This window comes from Homo sapiens, chromosome 8, assembly GCF_000001405.40.
Source record: "Homo sapiens chromosome 8, GRCh38.p14 Primary Assembly".
In the NCBI taxonomy this organism is placed as follows: Eukaryota; Metazoa; Chordata; class Mammalia; order Primates; family Hominidae; genus Homo; species Homo sapiens.
Window position 1 is genome coordinate 11,930,974 of NC_000008.11, and position 20,216 is coordinate 11,951,189.

Here is a 20,216-nt window from a genome sequence, read left to right on the forward strand (position 1 = left end):
GTGAGTGATATTCTTTTCTAATATCCAGCGGGGGAGAGGATGATATTGCTTCCAATATCACAGAAGGTGTACATCCCCCCTGTGATATTGCTCCTAATATCCAGGGAAGGAGAGGATGACATTATTCGCAATATCACTGGCGGTGTAGCACCTCCCGCCGGGATATTGTTCTTAATATCCGGAGGTGGAGAGAATGATGTTACTCCCAATATCACAGGGGGTGTACACCACCCCTGTTTGTAAACACCCCCTGTGATATGGTTCCAAATGGCCTGTGAAAGAGTAAATATGACTCCCATTATCGCGGCGGGTGTTCAGCCCTGATGATATTGTTTTCTAACATCCAGGGAAGGAGAGTGTGCTATTACTCCCAATATCGCAGGGGTTGTACACCCTTTTGTGTTTTCGTGCCCAATATCCAGGAAAATAGAGGATGATATTACTCCCAATATCGAAGTAATTGTACAGCACCCCTGTGATATTCTTCCTAATATCCAGAAAGGAAAAGAATGATATTACTCCCAACAGCGTAGGAAACGTATCACCGCGCTGTGGTATCTTTCCCTGTATCCAGGTGGGGAGAGGATCATATTACTTCCAATGTCGCAGGGTGTGTACAGCCCCTCTGTGATCTCGTTGCTAACATCCAGGTTTGGGGAAGACGACATTACTCCCAATATCGCAGGGGGAGTACACACCCCCATGACCTTGTTAGTCATTTCCTGGGTGGAGAGGATGATCTTACTCCCAATATCGCAGAGGGTGTACACACCCCTGTGAAAATCTTCTTATATTCAGAAGGAGAGAGGATGATATTACTCCCAGTACCGCAGGGGGTTTCCACAGCCCTGTGATACTCTTCCTAATATCCACAGGGAGAGAGGATGATATGACTCCCAATATCACAGGGGGTGTACACAACCCTGTGATATTGTTCCTAACATCCAGAGCGAAAGAGGATGATATGACTCTCAATATCGCAGAGGGTGTACACCCCTCCTGTAATATTGTTCTGAATACCCTGGGAGGGAGAGGACATGGTTACGTTGAATATCACAGGGAATGTACACCCTCCCCCTCTGATACCCTTCCTAATGTCCAGGGGAAGAGAGGAAAATTTTACTCCCAATATCACAGAGGCAGTACACCCCACCTGTGATGTTGTTCCCAATATGCAAGGGAGGAGAGGATGATACTACTCTCAATATCACAGGGCTGTTCACATCCCCAGTGACATTTTTCCTAATATCTAGGGGAGAGACAATTCTATGACAGCAAAGGTCGCCAGGTCTGTACATCCCTTCCTGATATTGTTCCTAATATCCAGGGGGGAAGAGGACGATATCCAGTATGAAAGGGGGTGTACACCCCCCACGCCTACGATATTGTTCTTAATAATCATGAAGGGAGACGATGATATTACTCCAAATATCGCAGGGGTTGTTCACAACCCCCTGTGATATTGTTTCTGATATCCAACAGGGAGAAAATCATATTACTTCCAATATTGGTGGTGTATTGGTGTATACACCAAAATCAGGTGGTGTATACCCCACCTGAAATATGGCACCGAATATCCAAAGAGGGAGAGGATGGTATTCATACCAATATCGAAGTGTGTGTACACGCCCCTTGTGATATGGTTTTTAATATCCAGTGGGCAGGAGGATGATATTAGTCCCAACATCCCAGAGGGTGTACACTACCCCTGTGATATTGTCCCTAACTTCCAGAGGGGAGAGGATGATATCACTCCCAATATCTCAGAAATTGTACATCCCCCGTGATATTGTTCGTCATATCCAGGGAGGCGCAGGATGACATTCCATTGAATTTCGCGACACGCCTACACGCACAGTGTGATATTGTTCCTAATATCCAAGAAGGGAGAGGATGATATTACTGCCAATAAAGCAGTGGGTGTACATCACCCCTGTGTTATTGTCTCTAATATCCGGGGCCGGGGGATGTGGGGAGAGGATAACATTCCCTCAAATTTAGCAGGTGGTTTGACGCCCCTTGTGGTGTTGTTTCAAATATCCACTGGGGAAGACAATAGCACTATTTTTGATCGTCCGATTCATCCGCTCCACCTTTCTGGAACTCTGAGGCCGGGAGGCGTCATGCAAATTCCATGTGATCCCCAATACCTTTGCCGTCTTCTGTACCAAGGCAGCCAAAAACGCAGGCCCGTTATCTAAGCCGATCCGTAACGGCAGTCAAAATCTAGGAATCACATCTCGAAGAAGCACAGGGGTTACTTCACTAGCTTTCTCAGTTCATGTTGGATAGACCTCCACCCACCCAGAGTAGGTACGCCCAAGAACTCGTAAATACTTGTTACCTCCACACTTTGGCATCTCTGTGAAGTCCACCTGGAGACCTTCAAAGGGGGCTGCTCCATAAGCTCGTATGCTGGGCGGAACGGCTGGACCTTGACTCCCATCTTGCTGTCAGCAGGTAACACACCGCTGCCTCACCATTTTGGCAAGGGCTGACAAAGGCGAGATGTAGAAATACCGGCCTAACAACTTTTCCAGTAACTCCTCACCTCGATGGGTGGTTTCTTGCACAGCCAGTACAACTGCAGCTCCTAGCAGCTGTGGCACAGCTACTCTCCCATCTGGTAACCGAATCCATCCTTCCTCCATCACTTGTCCTTCCCTCTACCTGGAGAAAGTCCTCTTCTTCTTTAGAAGAAGTACAAGATCAGGTGCTTGAGGGAGCACTGATACCTGGGGAGTGTTCCATGGAGACTGACAAGGAACTCTAATTCCAAAAGTTCTTAGGTGCTTGAGATGGACCTGGATACCTTGAAGGGCTTCTCTGGGGACCCGCTCCTGTTTTTGCATAACCGGCTGGGCCCCAGGATTCACTTCTATGAATATGTGGGCTGGGGTGACTGCCAACCCTGGAGGGTTGTGTCCCGCCCGTACTCTTGGCCACCACTTAGCCAGAGCTGGTCTTCACTCTTGGCACGGCTCAGTTAAGAAAAGTCTCCATTCCTCCTCTCAGGGGACCGTAAGGGTCATAATGGCTCCCATTCCAGGTAACTTTAGCAGCAAAGAGCCGTGATCTGTAAAATAGATAGTGGCTCTCAGCTTGCTAAGCAAGTCTCTTCCCAACCAGCGCAAGGGACAGTCAGGCGTGGACAAAAACTGCTGAATCACATTATGTCCTCCTACAGCACAAGTCCGAGGCAAGCAGAAAGCTTGCTTTGCTGAAACCCCCGTGGCTCCGATGATGTCAATAGCCTTTTTGGATAAGGGGGCGACCGGGGTAGTTACTACCGAATGTTCAGCACCGGTATCTACAAGAAAATCAATGTCTCTACCCCCGACTGTCATTCTGACCAGAGGCTTTTTGGGGACACTTGAGCCCGGTCTCCCTCAGTCCAGAAACACTTCTGCCAGGTTGACCAGGGCCCCTTCCTCCTTGTCCAGGGCCTCCTGCTCTGAGTCACCTGGTTTTCTTTTTAGCTGAGGGCATTTGTTCTTCCACTGTCCTATTTCTTTACAATCAGCACACTGGTTACGTTGCAAACTCTGACAGCCAAGCTGAGTTTCTTTCCCGGGGCCCCCCTTCCCTTGCCCTTTGTGGTGACCCCTCTGATTACTGCAGCTAACAAACAGGTTGGCATTTATCCAGGCCTGACGTTCATTCTCTTTGCTGTTTTCCTTACGGCTTACTGCTTCCCTGTTTACAAACACCTGGTTAGCTATTTCTAATCATTGCGATGTATTCATCCCTGCAAGCCCAGCCTGTTTCTGCAGTTTTCTTCTAATGTCTTCTGCGCTTTGACTGACTAAAGCCATGCTAATCATGCGCTGATTTTCAGGGCTATTGGGATCAAAGGGAGTACACATACCATAGGCCTCACACAGTCTCTCATAGAATTGTGCTGGACTTTCTTCTTTTCCCTGAATGACCTCAGAGAGCTTGTTAACGTTTGTGGCCTTCTGAGCTCCCCTCTGTAATCCTTCCAAGAGAGCTTCTCTGTCTTGGTTTAGCCTTTGCATATCCTCTCTTTCATGTGGGTCCCCCTGGGGGTCAGTTCCTGGTAACTGGGTCCTTCCATACTCTTGGGGGTTTTGATAATCAGCTGGTGCGTGTTCCTCTAGCCACTTAGTTGCTGCTTGGAGCACTCTCCACCTTTCATCTCTGTTAAAGAGGAACATGAGCAACTGGTGGCAATCAGCCCAGGTGGGGTTGTGGGTCCGGATATTAGTTTGGAGTAAATCAATTAGAGCTTGTGGTTTTTCAGTATAGGGCGGGGTATTATTTTTCCAGTTGAGAAGGTGGGCAGAGGTGAAGGGCTGGTACCCAAAAACACACCTCCCCACCAGATGACCATCCTCATCTATCCCTGTATACCACTGCTCTCTCAGGGGCATTTGGATCCCCATTTTGGGTCTTAAACGAGCTGCCAAGGGAGGGGTTTCTCCTGAGTCCTCGCCTCCTCTCTTGTCTACTCTGGGTGGCCTGGGGATATGCTTGTCTTACAGAGGCGCAAGCACTGATGGCTCAAGAGTGGGGAGCCTCTTTTCCCGGTAAGGGGAGGGCACCACTGGGATCTCTGGTGCCATCTCCTGCAATGGATCTTCTGATGCTGGCTGGAGCAGAACTTCAGCAGCTGATTTCTCTGGGTGGGTGGAGCAGGATCCTTCCTTAGCCATCTGTCCCTTTGGTACTAGTATTGCTGCTGCCTGCCCTCTTAGCCACTGTGGGGGGTCTAGCACCAGCTGTCACCAAGTGTCTATGTATGCAAACTGGTCTAGGTATCCTTTACCAGTTACCTCGTGCCACACCTTAAAAACAAGGGACATGTCCAGGCTTCCTTCGTATGGCCAACCCACTTCTAATTGTGAGCAATCTATTTCCCACAAGGTTCTAGGTCCCCCTGGTAGTCTAGTGGTTAGGCTTTGCCGCTCTCAGTGCCGCTGCCTGGGTTGGATTCCCAGTCATGTGAACCAAGAAATGGAGCAGGAGGAGCTGCAGAATAAGCCCCTCAGACAGTGGATTGAAGAAGGAAGAGATTTTAAGCCCCTCAAACAGTGGATTGAAGGAGGAAGAGATTTTTTTATTCAGCCGGGAGTGTCGGCAGACTCTTGTCTTAAGAGCCCGACCCCCAAAGGAAGACAGAGTTCCTGGCCCGTTTAAGGGCTTACAACTCTAAGGGGTTCCACGTGAAAGAATCGTGATGGATTGAGAGCACATGCGCTTAGAGTGGGGGTGGTTAATCTTTTCACCTCAGGCCGGCTCATCAGTGCCACCGGCTGGTCTTGCCACCGACTTCATTCCTGTTGTTTTTCAACTTTTACTTCCTCCTTCTCTTCAGATACAGGAGACAGCAGAGAAATGGCTTCTCTCCTCAGGTCGACAGGATGATATTACTCCCAATATCGCAGGGGGTGTACACAGCCCTGTGATATTGTTCCTAATGTCCAGAGCAAAAGAGGATGATATGACTCTCAATATCACAGAGGGTGTACACCCCTCCTGTAATATTGTTCTTAATACCCTGGGAGGGAGAGCATAAGATTACATTGAATATCGCAGGGAATGTTAACCCTCCCCCTCTGATACACTTCCTCACATCCAGGGGAAGAGAGGATAATTTTACTCCCAATATCGCAGAGGCAGTACACCCCCCGCTGTGATATTGTTCCTAATATCCAAGAGAGGAGAGGATGACACTTCTCCTAATAAAGCTGTGGGTGTACATTACCCCTGTGTTATTGTCTCTCATATCCGGGGGCGGAGGGGGGCGGAGAGGATAACACTCGCTCAAATTTGGCAGGTGGTTTGACGCCCCTTGTGGTATTGTTTTTAATATCCAGCGGGGAAGACAATAATACTGCTCTCAATATCACAAGAAATGCACATCCCCCTGTGATATTGCTACTAATATCCAGGGGTAGAGAGAATGGTGTTACTCCCAATATCGTCAAAGTGTCCACCCCCCCTTTGCTATTGTTCTTAATATATGGAAGACAAGTATGATATGACTCCCAAGATGGAAGGGGGAATACAAGCACCGGTGATATTGTTCCCAGTATGCAGTGGAGGAGAGAATGATATTACCCCCAATATCGCAGGAGGTGTACACCCCTCTGTGATCTTGTTCATAAGGTTCAATGGAAAAGATGATCTTACTGGAAATATGGTAAATACACTGTGTGTCCACAGTGGCTGGTAACATGAAGGGAGGGACGGGGATTGAAATTACTCTGCGCATCAGCGGAGAGTGTCCACGCCCCTGCGATGTGGCTCCTAATATCCATGGGGAAAGGGGATAGATATGACTCCCCGCATCACTGGGAGTGTCCACCCCCCTGCGATGTGGCTCGTCATATCAGTGGTGGGGGGGGTCATATTTCTCCCCGCATCGTGGGGGTTGCCCGCCCCGCTGCGATGTATATCGTAATAGCAAGGGAAGGAGAGGGGGATGACATTACTCCCCGCATCGTGGAGGAGTCTATCACAAATCGGGATACTATCCACCCTCTGGGATATGGGGAGTACACCCCCTGTGATATTGGGAGGAATATCATACTCTTCCCCCCTGAATATTAGGAACAATATCATGAAGGGGGTGTTCACCCCCTGCCATATTGTGAGTCATGTCATTTTCTCTACCCCTGGACATTAGGAGCAATGTCACAGGGTTGGTGTACAACCCCTGAGAAATTGGGAGGTATATCTTCCTCTCCACCTTCGGATATTAGGGACAATAACACAGGGGAGGTCTACACGTTCTGGATTATTGGGATTAATACCGTCCTCTCCGCGCCCGGATATTAGCTACAAGATCACAGAAGGGATGCCCACCCGGTGCGTTATTTGGCGTAATGGCATCGTCTACCCCTGGCTGTTAGGAACAACATCACAGGGGGCGTGTACGTTTTCTGCGATACTGTGTGGAATGGCGCAATATTACTTATCGGAATTAATATCAATTATGAATTAATATCAATTAATAGTATCAATTGTTAATTACTACTAATAATTATTAGTATTTATTGGTATTAATTATAATTATCAGTATTAATAACTGATAATATAATTTTAAAATCAATGCCGATAATAATGATAATGAATATTAAATAGTTATACTAACAATAACAATAAATGATTGATATTGATTAATAACACCCCATATTAATAACTGATACTGATCTTATTCATTAGAATACAGTAATATTAGCTCCTAATAATATTAATATTAGTAACCTGAAAACTTTTTAGTAGCAATTATTTCTAAATATTAATATTGGTAATTCATATTCATATGAATAATAAATGAGTAATAATGAATACTAATATTACGCCTAATACCTCAGTGGGTGTACACCCACCTGTGATATTGTTCCTAATGTCCAGGGAGGGAGAGAGCATGATATTCCGTTCAATATCACAGTAGGTGTACACCCACCCGGTGATATTTATCCGAATATAATCTCCAGGGGGTGGAGTATGACGTTACTCCCAGTATAGCAGTGGGTGTACATCCACCCGGTGATATTGCTCCTCATATTCATGGAAGAAGAGAATGCTATTACTCCCAGTATCGCAGGCAGTGTACACCCCTTCTGTGATATTGTTCCTAAAATCTGGAAGGTGAGAGGGTGATATTACCAATATTAATGGGAGCCTCTAGGCACCCTGCAGAGGCAAGCAAAATCGTTTTTGGAGCAAGGTAGTGTCATCCTGGACCTGAAATGATTACTATAAATATATTTTTAGTGCAATGAGCAGCACACAATGAAAGGTAACCTGACACCAGAAGAAAATAAGGTACTGTGAGGAGAACCAGGAGAAAGAACAGGCAAGAGAATCAGACCTACAAATGCTTGGACTGCTGGAATAGTCAGAGAGGGACTCTCCCACTGACACACAAAAAAATAAAACCCACCAAAAATATAATTAGCATGCTTAAGGAAATATAGAAGAAGCTAGGAAATATCTGCAGGAAACTTTCAAGAGCAATATAGCAGATTTTTTTTCCTTCTCTTTCAATGACTTTGAAACACAGCAGATTTTAAAAGGAAGCAAAAAGAACTTGTACAAATGAAAAATACAATAACTGAAAATTAAAAGTTCAGTAATGAATGGGCGTAACAGCAGATTGGAAGCAATTAAAGAGAGAATTAGTGAGTAGGAAATTATCCAGAAGAAATTAAGCAGAATGTGACATGAAGAAATGAGATAATGGAAAACAGAGAAGAAAGGATAAGATATATAGAAGACAGAATAAGTTTAGTTGAATCCCAGAAAAGAGAATAGAATAGAGGCAATACTTGAAGTGATAATAGTTAATTATTTTCTAGAATTGATAAAACGCTCAAATCCACAAATCAAATCTAATAGAATAAATCGCTACCTGAATAAATAAAACATACTTCCACACATCTTAATAAAACTGAAGAAAACCAAAGTCAAAGAAAAAAATCTTAAAGTAGCCAGACAAAAAAGGTTATAATAGAATTCGGAAGGTAATCAAATTCTTTCTTTCTTTCTTTCTTTCTTTCTTTCTTTCTTTCTTTCTTTCTTTCTTTCTTTCTTTCTTTTTTTTTTTTTTGAGATGCAGTCTTGCTCTGTCACCCAGGCTGGAGTCAAATGGCACGATCTTGGTTCACTGTAGCCTCCACCTCCTGGGTTCCAGCGGTTCTCCTTCCTCAGCCTCCCAAGTACCTGGGACTACAGGTGTGTACCACCATGCCCATCTTATATTTGTATTTTTAGTAGAGACAGAGTTTCACCATGTTGGCCAGGATGGCCTCCATCTCTTGACTTCGTGATCCACTTGCCTCAGCCTCCCAAAGTGCTGGGATTACGGGTGTGAGCCATTGTGCCTGCCTCTTTTGTAATTTTCTATTTGTCCTGACTGTTCTATGTTTGTTTTTCTCTCCTTCTTACCATCACTTTTTTAATTTTTTATTTATTTATTTTTTTTGAGACAGGATCTCGCTCTGTTGCCTAAGGCTGTAGTGCAGTGGTATGATCACAGCTCACTATGGCTTCAACCTTTCATGCTCAAGTGATTTTTCTGCCTCAGTCTCCATAGTAGCTGGGACCACACATGTGCACTACCACCACACCCTACTCATTTTTAATTTTTATTTATTTATTTATTTAACTTTTTATTTTGAGCAGAGATGAGGTCTTGCTATGTTGCCCAGGCTGGTCTTGATCTCCTGAGATAGAATGATCCTCCCACCTTGGCCTCCCAATATGTTGGGATTACACGCAAGCGCCACCACTCGCAGTCAATAGCACTCAATTTTACACTTTGATGAGAAGTTAACTCTGTATGTTTAATTGCTAGGGTAATCATGATAAAATAGCGCATATACTTTTCAAATTAGTAGAGGGAAAGAATGGAATGATAAAATTAAATAAAGTGATGAAGAGCCAGGTGTGGTGGCTCATGCCTGTAATCCCAGCAATTTGGGAGGCTGAGGCAGGTGGATTGCTTGAGCCCAGGAGTTTGAGATCAGCCTGGTCAACATGGTGAAACCGTCTCAACAAAAAATTTTAAAATTGGCTGGGTGTAGTGGCTTCCACCTGTAATTCTAGCTATGCAGGAGGCTGAGGCAGGAGAATTGCTTAAACACAGGAGGTTGAGGCCATAGTGAGCTGAGATCATGCCACTGCACTACAGCCTTAGGCAACAGAGCGAGATCCTGTCTCAAAAAAATAAATAAATAAAAAATAAAAAAAGTGATGGTAAGAAGAGACAGAGAAACAAACATAGAACAGTCAGGACAAACAGAAAATCACAAAAGAGGTGGGCGCAGTGGCTCATGCCTGTAATCCCAGCACTTTGGGAGGCTGAGGCTAGGGGATCACGAAGTCAAGAGATTGAGACCATCCTGGCCAACATGGTGAAACTCTGTCTCCACTAAAAACACAAATATAAGATGGGCATGGTGGCACACACCTCTAGTACAAGCTACTTGGGAGGCTTAGGCAGGAGAATCGCTTGAACCTGGGAGGCAGAGGAGAGATCGCACCACTGCACTCCAGCCTGGCGACAGAGTGAGACTCCATCTCAAAAATAAATAAATAAATAAGTAATTAAATTAAAAAAAGAAAATTACAAAAGAAGTGGTAGATTTAACTCAAATATGTCAGTAATGACATTAAATGTAAATGCACTAAGTGCTCTTCTTAATAGACAGATCTTAAGACCATATAATGTAACTCCACCTGGAGCATAGACAGGAAACTCACCTCCCTCACGTCCACCAGGAGCCATGGCAGGGCCAGCAGCTTGGGTGACCTGCTTCCTGGTCCTGTGTTCTGTCAACACTGCCCGATTCAATTCAACCCAGCCCGTTTATGTTGAACAGCCTGTGCTGGTGAGGCGGGGGACAATTTCGGAACATACAAATGTATCAAACAAGGTTTCTATCCTGAAGGCATTTTCCCAAGTGAGGAGAAAGTGCGCTGTAGCATGAATTCTCGGGATACATATTCCTCTAACGGCATATGGACACATCGTATCTTCACGGGGTGCTGAAAACAGCTCAGTCGTGGAGACCCTAACCCAGTGGCACTAGAGGAATTAAAGACACACACACAGAAATATAGTGTGGAGTGGGAAATCAGGGGTCTCACAGCCTTCAGAGCTGAAAGCCTGGAACAGAGATTTACCCATGTATTTATTGACAGCAAGCCAGTGATAAGCATTGTTTCTATAGATTATACATTAACTAAAAGTATTCCTTATGGAAAATAAAGGGATGGGCAAAAGTAAAGCGATGGGTCTGGCTCGTTATCTGTAGCACGAACATGTCCTTAAGGCACAGATCCCTTATGCTATCGTTTGTGGTTTAAGAACGCCTTTAAGCAGTTTTCCACCCTGGGTGGGCCAGGTGTTCCTTGCCCTCATTCTGGTAAACCCACAACCTTCCAGCATGGGTGTGACGGCCATCACGAACATGTCACAGTGCTGCAGAGATTTTGTTTTTGGCCAGTCTTGGGGCAGTTTATGGCCAGATTTTGAGGCCTGTTCCCGAACAACGGGGGCTGGGTTGGGGGTGGTGATGTTTTGGGGCTGTGTCCAAGAAGGGCTCTGCCTGTGCCTGGCTGTCCACCGCGTTGGACACAGGCAGGCAGTGGGCAGGGCCGGAGTAGGTGCTTTTCTGAATGGAAATTCATCAATGCGCTTTGTGTCTGCTGTGGTTATCAGTGTTGCTATTTCAGTAAGTAATGGTAAAGCCTTCACCCGGCTCATGCCAGATGCGGAGGGTGGGGGCGCGGGCCTGTGATATGGCTGGGGTCCTCTGTCGTCAGAAAACATGAGCTCATGCCAAGGTTTCCGCAGGTCACCGAGATAGCACCGGCTCTCTGGAGACAGGCGTGACCCCCAGGTCAGCTCCTTGTCATTGAACTAAGTGGGCTCAGTGTCAGCTTGAACGTTAGTGGTGATAAGGGCCGGATAATGGTAGCCAAACTCCCACGGCCTCTTTAGGCCTCCCCTGGGGCCCTGAGGCCAGCAAGAGGGCAGGTCAGGGAGGGGCCAGGAGGAGGAGCAGGCAGGGAGGCTGCTGGTGCCTTTGGCTCAGCCAGTGGGGCTCTCAGCCCTCTGGAGTGTGCCCTAGGGACCAGTTTGTCCATGCCCCTGCCTCCAGGCCAGTCACTAGGACCAACAGATGTCCCAAGGAAGACACCGGCCATGACTGCATCCTGGAACCATATCAAACTGGCAGCACTTACTTCTCTGGACTTGTTTTTGTTTCACCAAATTTGCTGGATCTGTTGGCAAGTTTGAGTGAGTGGGGAAGTTGTGGATGTGTGTTCAGGCTCTGCCGTGGACCTGGGGGCCAGGGTTAATCTGCTGGCGGTTTCAGGTGGGAAAGACCAGAGCTTGATCACAGCACACACAGCACCTGGGGATATTTCTCAGGCTCTGCGCTCCCTGGTCCTGAGTCTGTCACCTGTGAGGTCAAGCTTCCTAAGCCTTCCTGGGCCTGAAAGTAAGCCACACCACTTCCAAAATAATGACACCTGTGTGCAACCCAGATGGGAGCATGGTCCTGGCCGTGTGTCTGCATCTCTGGGCTGCTCCCCAGCACACAGGGGAGGGCAGGAGGTGGGTTTTATGCTGGGAGGGCCTCAGGTGGCCTCCTGGGTCAGCAGCATGCATGCGGCCCTGTCCCTCTCATGCCCCTCTATTGCTGGTCCAGGACTGAACCTTTTCTTTCTCTGCCCAGAGCAGCCTCCAGGGAGCCACTGTCAATGGACAAGAGGCGGCATGTGACATGGGATGATTTGCCACCCCTGAATCAGTCCAACTCTTCCATTCTCAGAGGAGGGCACTGAGGCGGGGGGGGCCTGGCCAGCCCAAGCCCTGTCTGCTGCTCGGCTGAGCAAGAGGGACATGAACGCAGCTCTTCGTCCTCTGCCCTGTGCTTGCATTCTCTTGAGCTTTCTCTCTGGTAAAGAAATCATTCTTTTTGTTAATTTTTTAAATTTTATTTTTAAATTTTTATTTATGTATTTTGAGACCGGGTTATGAGACTGGCTAATTTTTGTATTTTTGCTGGAGATGCGGGTCTTGCTATGTTGCCCAGGCTGATCTCGAACTCTTGGCCTCAAGTGATCCACCTGCCTCATCCTCCCAAAGTGCTGGGATTACAGGCGTGAGCCACCGCACCCAGTCACAACTGAAATCATTCGAGGTGTCATTGTTTCCGATGTTACTTTACGTTTTGAAAAATAAAGCTACTGCATTTTGCAGGTGAACAGTCTCAGACTGCAAAGCAAGTCAGCACTACCACAGAGGGAATCCCAAACTCGCTGCTGAGAACAGAACAGCTGTGCCCTCGCCGACTGGGACCCGAGTGACATCTACTGGAGCAAGCAGGGGCTGCACGTGAGCAGGCAGCCATTCGGTCACTCCCCGTCATTCCAACACAATCGAATTTGTGTAGAAAATTTACATGCATCATAGGCTATTTATGAATATATGCACACGTAGAAAGAGGAAAAATACGCTTGGAAATGGTAAACATAACTTCAAGATAGTAGTTACCCTTGGGTTCGGTAGGGGTGAAGGAGTGGTAAGGGTTTTAGTTTTATCTTTAACCATTTCTTTTTTCACTTACTTATTTGTAGAGATGGGAGTCTCACTATGTTGCCCAGGGTAGTCCTGGTCTCAAGCAATCCTCCCACCTTGGCTTCCCAAAATGCTGGGATTACAGGCGTGAGACACCATGCCTGGCCACAATTTGGTTTCTCTTTCAAAAGATCCGATACCAGTGTGCCAAAGTATTGACATCTATTAAATCTTTCAGGTGGTCCTACTGAGGTCTGTTTTTCTGTGCTTATCTCTAAGTTTAAAATCGTTCATAATAAACATATAGTTTATATTAATAGTAATAATATACAGTATATATTATACTATATATTTATTATATAGTATATACTTTATATTCATTATATATTGTATACTTACATTTATGGAAGGAAAATAAAAAACAAAAATGGAAAATTTGTGGTCCAGATTCTTGGTCCCAATGGTAGCAGGGCAGTTTAATAGCAAAAGTTCTTAATACTTGTTGGCTGCTGTTACCATCATTAATAAGTATCCTGGAGTTTACTGGAGTAACTGAACAGCAGTCGAAGCTCATGTATAGGCTAGAGGAGAATCACGCTCTTCAACAGTAGTGACAAGATGAAGATACACTGAGAAGACTCATTTATTTGCTATTATTGAAAAATTGTTCATACCCCATAGGAAGATGTGGCATAGAACATCAGAATGTTCTTAGAATTGGGAAACTCTCAGGTAGGAGGCTGAAAGAGAAAGCCAAAATGACTATTTTATTTCCAGATTAAAGTTGTGCCTAGAATGATCACAAACACAACCTCCCACTGTTAGAACCAGAGTCCAGAAGCACCTAACACAGGCAGCAGTACTAGAGCAGGGCTCACGATATTTTGATAACTCAAGTTATACCTTTATGAGTTTTTACATATCCAGGTACCTATTGTATGATTATTTGTATAATATATTTTTAAAACCTCACTTTTTATGCCAGAGGTTTGAATGTAATCGGTCTGGGTTGTGTCTTGGGATTTTAAAAAATGTCCCCAGTTGAATGTAAATATAAGCCAAGATTGAAAACCATTTCTTCAAATCAAGAAAGGGGAGTCCCAGGCGCCAGAGATGAAGAGGACATGGAAAGGTAGAGTGTCGGTGGGGCGTGGTGGCTCACACTTGTAATCACAGCACTTTGGGAGGCCGAGGCAGGCAGATCACGAGGTCAGGAGATCGAGACCATGGTGCAACCCTGTCTCTACTAAAAATACAAAAAATTAGCCGGGCGTGGTGGCATGCGCCTCTAATCCTAGCTACTGGGAGAGGCTGAGGCAGGAGAATGGTGTGAACCCAGGAGGTGGAGCTTGCAGTGAGCGGAGATCATGCCACTGCACTCCAGCCTGGGCGACAGAGTGAGACTCCGTCTCAAAAAACAAACAAACAAAAAAAAACACAAGAAACGAAAAGAAAGGTAGAGTGGCAAGTGTGAGAGCTGATGTGCGGGAGCTGGAGCCTGGGTGGGGCACATTCTGATGCACGCTCATGGGGACAGGTGATGAGGCCTTAGAAAGGGGAGCTGGATCTGAGATTTGTGCAAAAGTCAGGACCCTTGAAAAGCTGTCTGCTCAGTGAATGGGGGACCAGACAAATCCTACCTGCTGGTGAGGGAGACTTCAGTTGCTTAGGCTCTCGGTGGGGAAAAAATATCTCTCATGTAATAAACCGAAACCTAAGCTGAGAAATTCACTTAAACATTGGTCCAAACAACTCAAATATCCATCCATGGATGAATGGACAGACTAAACGTGGAATATACATACAATGGAATATTATTCTGCCTTAAAAAAGAAAGGAAATTCTGATACATACCATAACATGGATGAACCTTGAGGACATTATGCCAAATGAAAGAAGCCAGATGCAGAAGGACAAATACTGTATAATTCTACTTACATGAGGTACCTAAAATAGTCAAATTAATAGAGACAGAAGGTAGAATTGTGGTTATCAGGGCTGGGAAAGAGTGGAATGGGGAGTTAGTGTTTCATGGGCACAGAGTTTCAGTTTGGGATGATGGAAAAGTTGTGGAAATGGATGGTGGTGACGGTTGTCCAACAATGCAAATATACTTGATGCCACTGAACTGTACACTTAAAAGTGTTTAAAATGGTCAATTTATGCTATGTGTATTTTATCACAATAGACAAAAATGATCCCAAGTTTATGATATCCTTCGTGGAGCATCTGGAAGAATCAAATAGTAAAGTACATGATTCTCTTCCCAGTGTGTAGAATTTCTACAATAGAATGGCAGGGAGTGGGGTGGTAAATCCTCACTGAAATAAGTGAATAAGTGAATTCGTAAATCCTCACTGAAAATAACTTCAGTAAATTAAAGTTCAATAAATTAATAGTTCAATAAATTTCTACAATAGAATGGCAAGGAGTGCGGTGGTAAATCCTCACTGAAAATAAGTTCAGTAAATTAGAGTTCAATAAATTAATAAATTAAAGTTCAATAAATTAAAGTTCAGTAAATTAAAGTTCAATAAATCCACACTGAAAATACATCACAAAACACATAGAAAAATATCCTGCCATGATAGCCAGTAGGCACAATGAATAGCAGGATTACTGCCAAAGATACTGAGATAATGGTACAATGTGAAAGCAAGCAAATAAACATGTGAGAGCTGAAACTATAAGAAAATGCTATTATGAGAAAGATGAGCTATTTACACACGGCTAAATAGAAAATCAACAAATGAGAATAGAGATCTGAGGAAACTGCCACATATGAGGCTCAGAGCTAAAAAGCAATGAAAAATATAGAAATGAAGCCAAGAGATATGAAAGATCAAATGAGAAGTTTCACTATAAATTTGAAGATGATGCTGGTAATGCATTGTGTTAATTCGCTTGACCCACCTGATTTTGTGCAGCCACAGTTCAATGCCAACATTTCATGTACATTTCATGGGCAATGCCGGCATCCCTTCTCAACTGCAGACCACAGTGTCTTTCTGTTCTTCTGACTCTGGGCTTTTCCCAACACTGCAAAAGCCCATTTAGCTTATGCACAAACAGTTCAGACTTTTGAAGGTGTTGACACAGCTGGCAGCAGCCCTCAACTAATGAGGGATGAGAAGAAGTAGATAAGTGTATCAACTCAATTGTCCTTTGGTGAGACAATATAAGGCATTCTCTATTAATTTACTCAAAGAATCCTCAGCAGGACTGAACCCCAGTGAATCTCAGTGGTAGCCAGCTCATAATCCAACTTTATTGGATTTTCTGTTTTATTCTTCTGATTCCATCACTTCTGTTCACCGTGATCACCTCTTAAATTAACTCAAGTCTTCCTTTCAGGTTCTGCTTTCATAGGAACTTAAACTAAGGCAAAAGGGAGAAATGCAAAGAATTAGGGAAAGGCAATATTTGAAGCGATAATACTTGAGAGCTTTTCAGAATTGATGAAGGACAGATATCCTTAGATTCAGGAAACACAAGTCCTAAAAAGGTTTTAAAAAATTGACTTCCATGTGCATTGTAGAATACCAAAGATAGGGGGAAAATTTCTAAAGCAACTAGAGAGAAAGAATGGATTAGCAGGCCAAGGCACAGCATTTTGGTGGTCAATAGACTTTTAAACAGTTATAAAAAACCAGAATACAATGGAATAAGCATTGAAGGAAAATGACTGGTGATCTGGAATTTTATACCCAACGAAACTGGGTACTGCTCGAGAATAACGGGGGGAAAATAAACCCAAAAAACCAAAAACATGTTCATACAAAGATGGAGTTTATCTACTCACAGACACTAGTTGAAAGAACTATTACATTATGTACCCTTGATGCTGGTTCTATTCCTTGTAGCCACAAGAGCAAAATTCAATCTCATTTTCCAAAGGATCCTCTTATAGTTCTTCTTTGGGCCTGTGGTGGAGGCGTGAGGGATGATTTCTTCTTCAATAGCTCTGTTTAACCTTGGAAGCCCCCTTCTGAATAAAGTTGCCATCTTGACAAGGAGATTTGGGATGGGGTGGTTCAGTAGGCGCTGGGAGCTTTAGTCTTCAGCTTCTGGTTCTAGGCTTCCTGGTTCCCCTCTCTCCTCATAGAGTTAGATTTTGGATCGTGCTGGCCGTCAGTATCTGTGGGTCGGCTCACATTCAAGAACTTTGCCAGAATTTCTCCTTGGGAGGAGGAATGAACACTCATTGGTGTCTACAGATTGAATTTCCCTCTCCTCCTCCACTTACACAGAGAGAAAGAGAAATAATTGTAGACTTGCAGAAATTAATTTTTACTTTGGGTGTGATACTCTACCTCATTTTTCTCAGTCCAGGCCTCAGTTTCGCCATTGATAAAGACACAATGTTGACCCAAATTAAACCCTTTTCTGAATTTAACACTGAGGAACACTTCCAGCCACCCCCGACCCCGAGTTCTCTGCAGTGGTAGCTATTTTTCCAGGATGTCCTGGCATTGCGGCTGCCTTCTTCCCACCTGCCTCTGCTCCTGTGTCCCTCTCCACCTCACCTGGAGAAGAGGAATCAGGCTACATCACAGTTGCCACAGAAAACAAGGTATTTATTTTCTTTCTTGGCTTTTGTTTAGATCGTAGCATCTACAGTGACTGGATTCTACTCTTGCTGATTTTAAAAAATCAAAAAGTGTTTATAATTTCATAAGTATTACAGAAACTTACTTCCATTGTAGAATAATTCAGATAATGCACAGAAAGCAAAAGATACTTTTCCCACCTTCAATTCTAGTCCTTCCTTTTAGAGGTGACCACCACTGTCATTTTAGCATTTACTCCTTCCTGCTCTCTCTCTCTCTCTCGAGATATATATACACACATACACACACATATATATGTGCTTTTTCCTTTTTGTTGCTTATATGGTATAATCCATATACATTTTACAATTTTTAAAAACTTACATATTTGGGGAATCTTTTCATTCTGGTATAAAGACTTTTCTTGTTCTCTCTGACTGGTACATAGTATTCCAGAGCATTGTTATACTGTGCTATAATATAATTTATCTAAGGAAACATCAGATATAAGAAACAAAGAAAAAAACTAAAGGAAAGATATAAAAGCAACAACAAAATACTATATTTAACCACTGCCTTGTCAATTAACATTTAGGTTGTTTATAATTTTTGCTACTACAGAGAATTCTGCATGAGCATTCTTGTACATATTTCTGTGTGTCTAGATGCAAGCATTTCTCTTGGGAAGATATGGAAGGTACACTTCCAATCAAGAGAAGACACATTTAACATTTCAACATTTTAGCATTTAGAGATTACTCTCCATAAGGGCTGTATCAATACACACCCTCATAATCAGTGTATGAAAATACCCATTGCTTCATCCTTTTACCGAAACTAGTTGTTTTCCATTTTTAAAATGTTTTTTCCCTCTGACTGTTGTCTTTCTCCTTAGCATCCTCCACTTCTTGTCTCCCTTCTTGCCGTCTCCTTCTCATACAGCACGCCCCAGGCAGACATGATTCACAGAAAATGGTCCCAATGTATAGACATGTGGTCAGAAGTCATGGGATGAAAACACTCAAATAGACACACACAGGAGTTTGCAAAATCACATGCGCACGTCTTCACACACAAACACAGTATTCTTTCCAGTCAAGATAAGAATATTAGTGGGAAAAGTAGTGCTGGACTATCTCATTTCCCTGTGTGGGCTGCTCAGATAAGTGGCCTCTCAGGTCTGGACAATAATACCCAGCCCGACAGCTTGTCTGTGGCCTCTCCCGCCCCTCCAGAGAAGCCTCCGCAATGATGGCTGTTCTGGGGTGGGGTCCAGCAGTGGGTGCACAGCTCTGAGCAGACCCAATGGGCAGACAGTGATGGCAAGAGGCGCTCTTGGGGCCTGGGAGGGGGATGCAGCTCACGGCGGCGGCAGTGCTGGGGATACACCGGCGCCAGACCGGTGCCCAGAATCACCGGGAGTGTGATGGTGGGGCAAATCAGAGTCATTAGAGTAACTGGCGGGGCCCAAGGAATCTCGCTAGGAAGCAGGGACGCGAGGTGGCTCAGCCTGTGGGTGGCCACAGCAGCTTTGGAAACCTCCTTCCTCCCTTTCTTCCCTTCCCAGGGCACACAGGCAGGATGGTGCCTGAAAACAAGGCCGCCCACTTCCTCCGCTGCATCCCTCCTCTCCCACACCTCTCAGGCTCTATCCTGCGCCTCTTCTTCAGCAGTTTAGGAGGTTCCTGGGACTCTGCTAGTTCTGGAGAATACAAAGAACAAGCCCCTTTCCTGCATCCGAGGACCTCACTATCTCGGGGGCCCTCCAGGGCTCACCTGCCACTGCAAGTCTAGACGGTCTCTCCCGCTTCTTGTGGTGCAAGCAGTTGCACACAGCCCCTTGCAGCTCTCCCTGATATTTATGGTCTTGGTCCCACGGATTCAGGTCGCTTTTGTTATCCATTTTAAGTCATTTTGTCTTCTTTTTAAAAGTTCTTTTAAAACAAATTTTTATTTTTTTTTGAGACAGGATCTTGCTATGTTGCCCAGGCTGGTCTCAAACTCCCGGCCTCAAGTGATCCTCCTGCTCTGGCCTCCAAAAGTGCTGGTATTACAGGCGTGAGCCAGTGTGCCCAGCCGTCATTTCCTCTGCATGTCAAGTGAAGTCATGGGGAAGGGCGTCTGGAGTGGTGAGTGGGGCTCTCACTTCCTCAGGATGGCGGGAAGTTCTATCTTGATCTGAGGCCCGGGATCAGGTTGCTCCTTGTCCCCATATCCAGGGTTGGGAGGAGAGGCTGGAGCCCGGGAGACTCTGCCTGGAAACCTGGAGACTGTGGCAGGCATTGAAGAGTGTGGAGTCGCCCACATTGGTGGTCTTGTTTGATTCCTACCACCTGGAAGGGAGAAAGAGCAAGACTTCTTGTATCTGTCACAGATGAGGAAACTGTAGCCTACAAAGGTTAAATGACTCACTCAAGGTCGCACAGACGGGAAAGAAAGAACCCAGGTCTCTGGACTTGAAATCTGGGGTCCTAGCCATGGGCCATGTTCTTGGAAACTTGCACCACATGGTAGCGCCCTAGAAGGAAGAGAGGGAGGAGAGGGAGGAGAGGGAGGCCAGATGCTCTGGAAGGCATGCTCTCAGGACTTAGACCCCTGTG

At 45.0% G+C, this 20,216-nt stretch overlaps 2 long non-coding RNA genes and 1 pseudogene across 2 annotated transcripts, besides 1 other annotated feature; 2 read left to right on the forward strand and 1 right to left on the reverse strand.

The window, feature by feature from the left end:
* TRE-CTC11-1 (tRNA-Glu (CTC) 11-1) lies at positions 4,898–4,969 on the forward strand (annotated as a pseudogene).
* Positions 11,591–17,586, forward strand: LOC105379244 (uncharacterized). Its single transcript, XR_001745645.2, has 3 exons — positions 11,591–11,779; positions 12,749–13,014; positions 17,394–17,586. It is a non-coding gene; the product is annotated as an uncharacterized LOC105379244 (long non-coding RNA).
* Positions 12,687–12,981: a silencer, noted in NCBI's record as "tiled region #12781; HepG2 Repressive DNase unmatched - State 12:CtcfO". NCBI's record gives its function as "represses a minimal TATA promoter and a strong SV40 promoter by Sharpr-MPRA in HepG2 cells {active_cell/tissue: HepG2}" and the evidence as "EXISTENCE:reporter gene assay evidence [ECO:0000049][PMID:27701403]".
* Positions 16,321–19,513, reverse strand: LOC112268017 (uncharacterized). The gene is made up of 3 exons (XR_002956672.1): positions 19,393–19,513; positions 16,903–17,246; positions 16,321–16,444 (listed from the first exon to the last, which is right to left on the reverse strand). It is a non-coding gene; the product is annotated as an uncharacterized LOC112268017 (long non-coding RNA).
* Between the last annotated feature and the right edge of the window lie 703 nt (positions 19,514–20,216).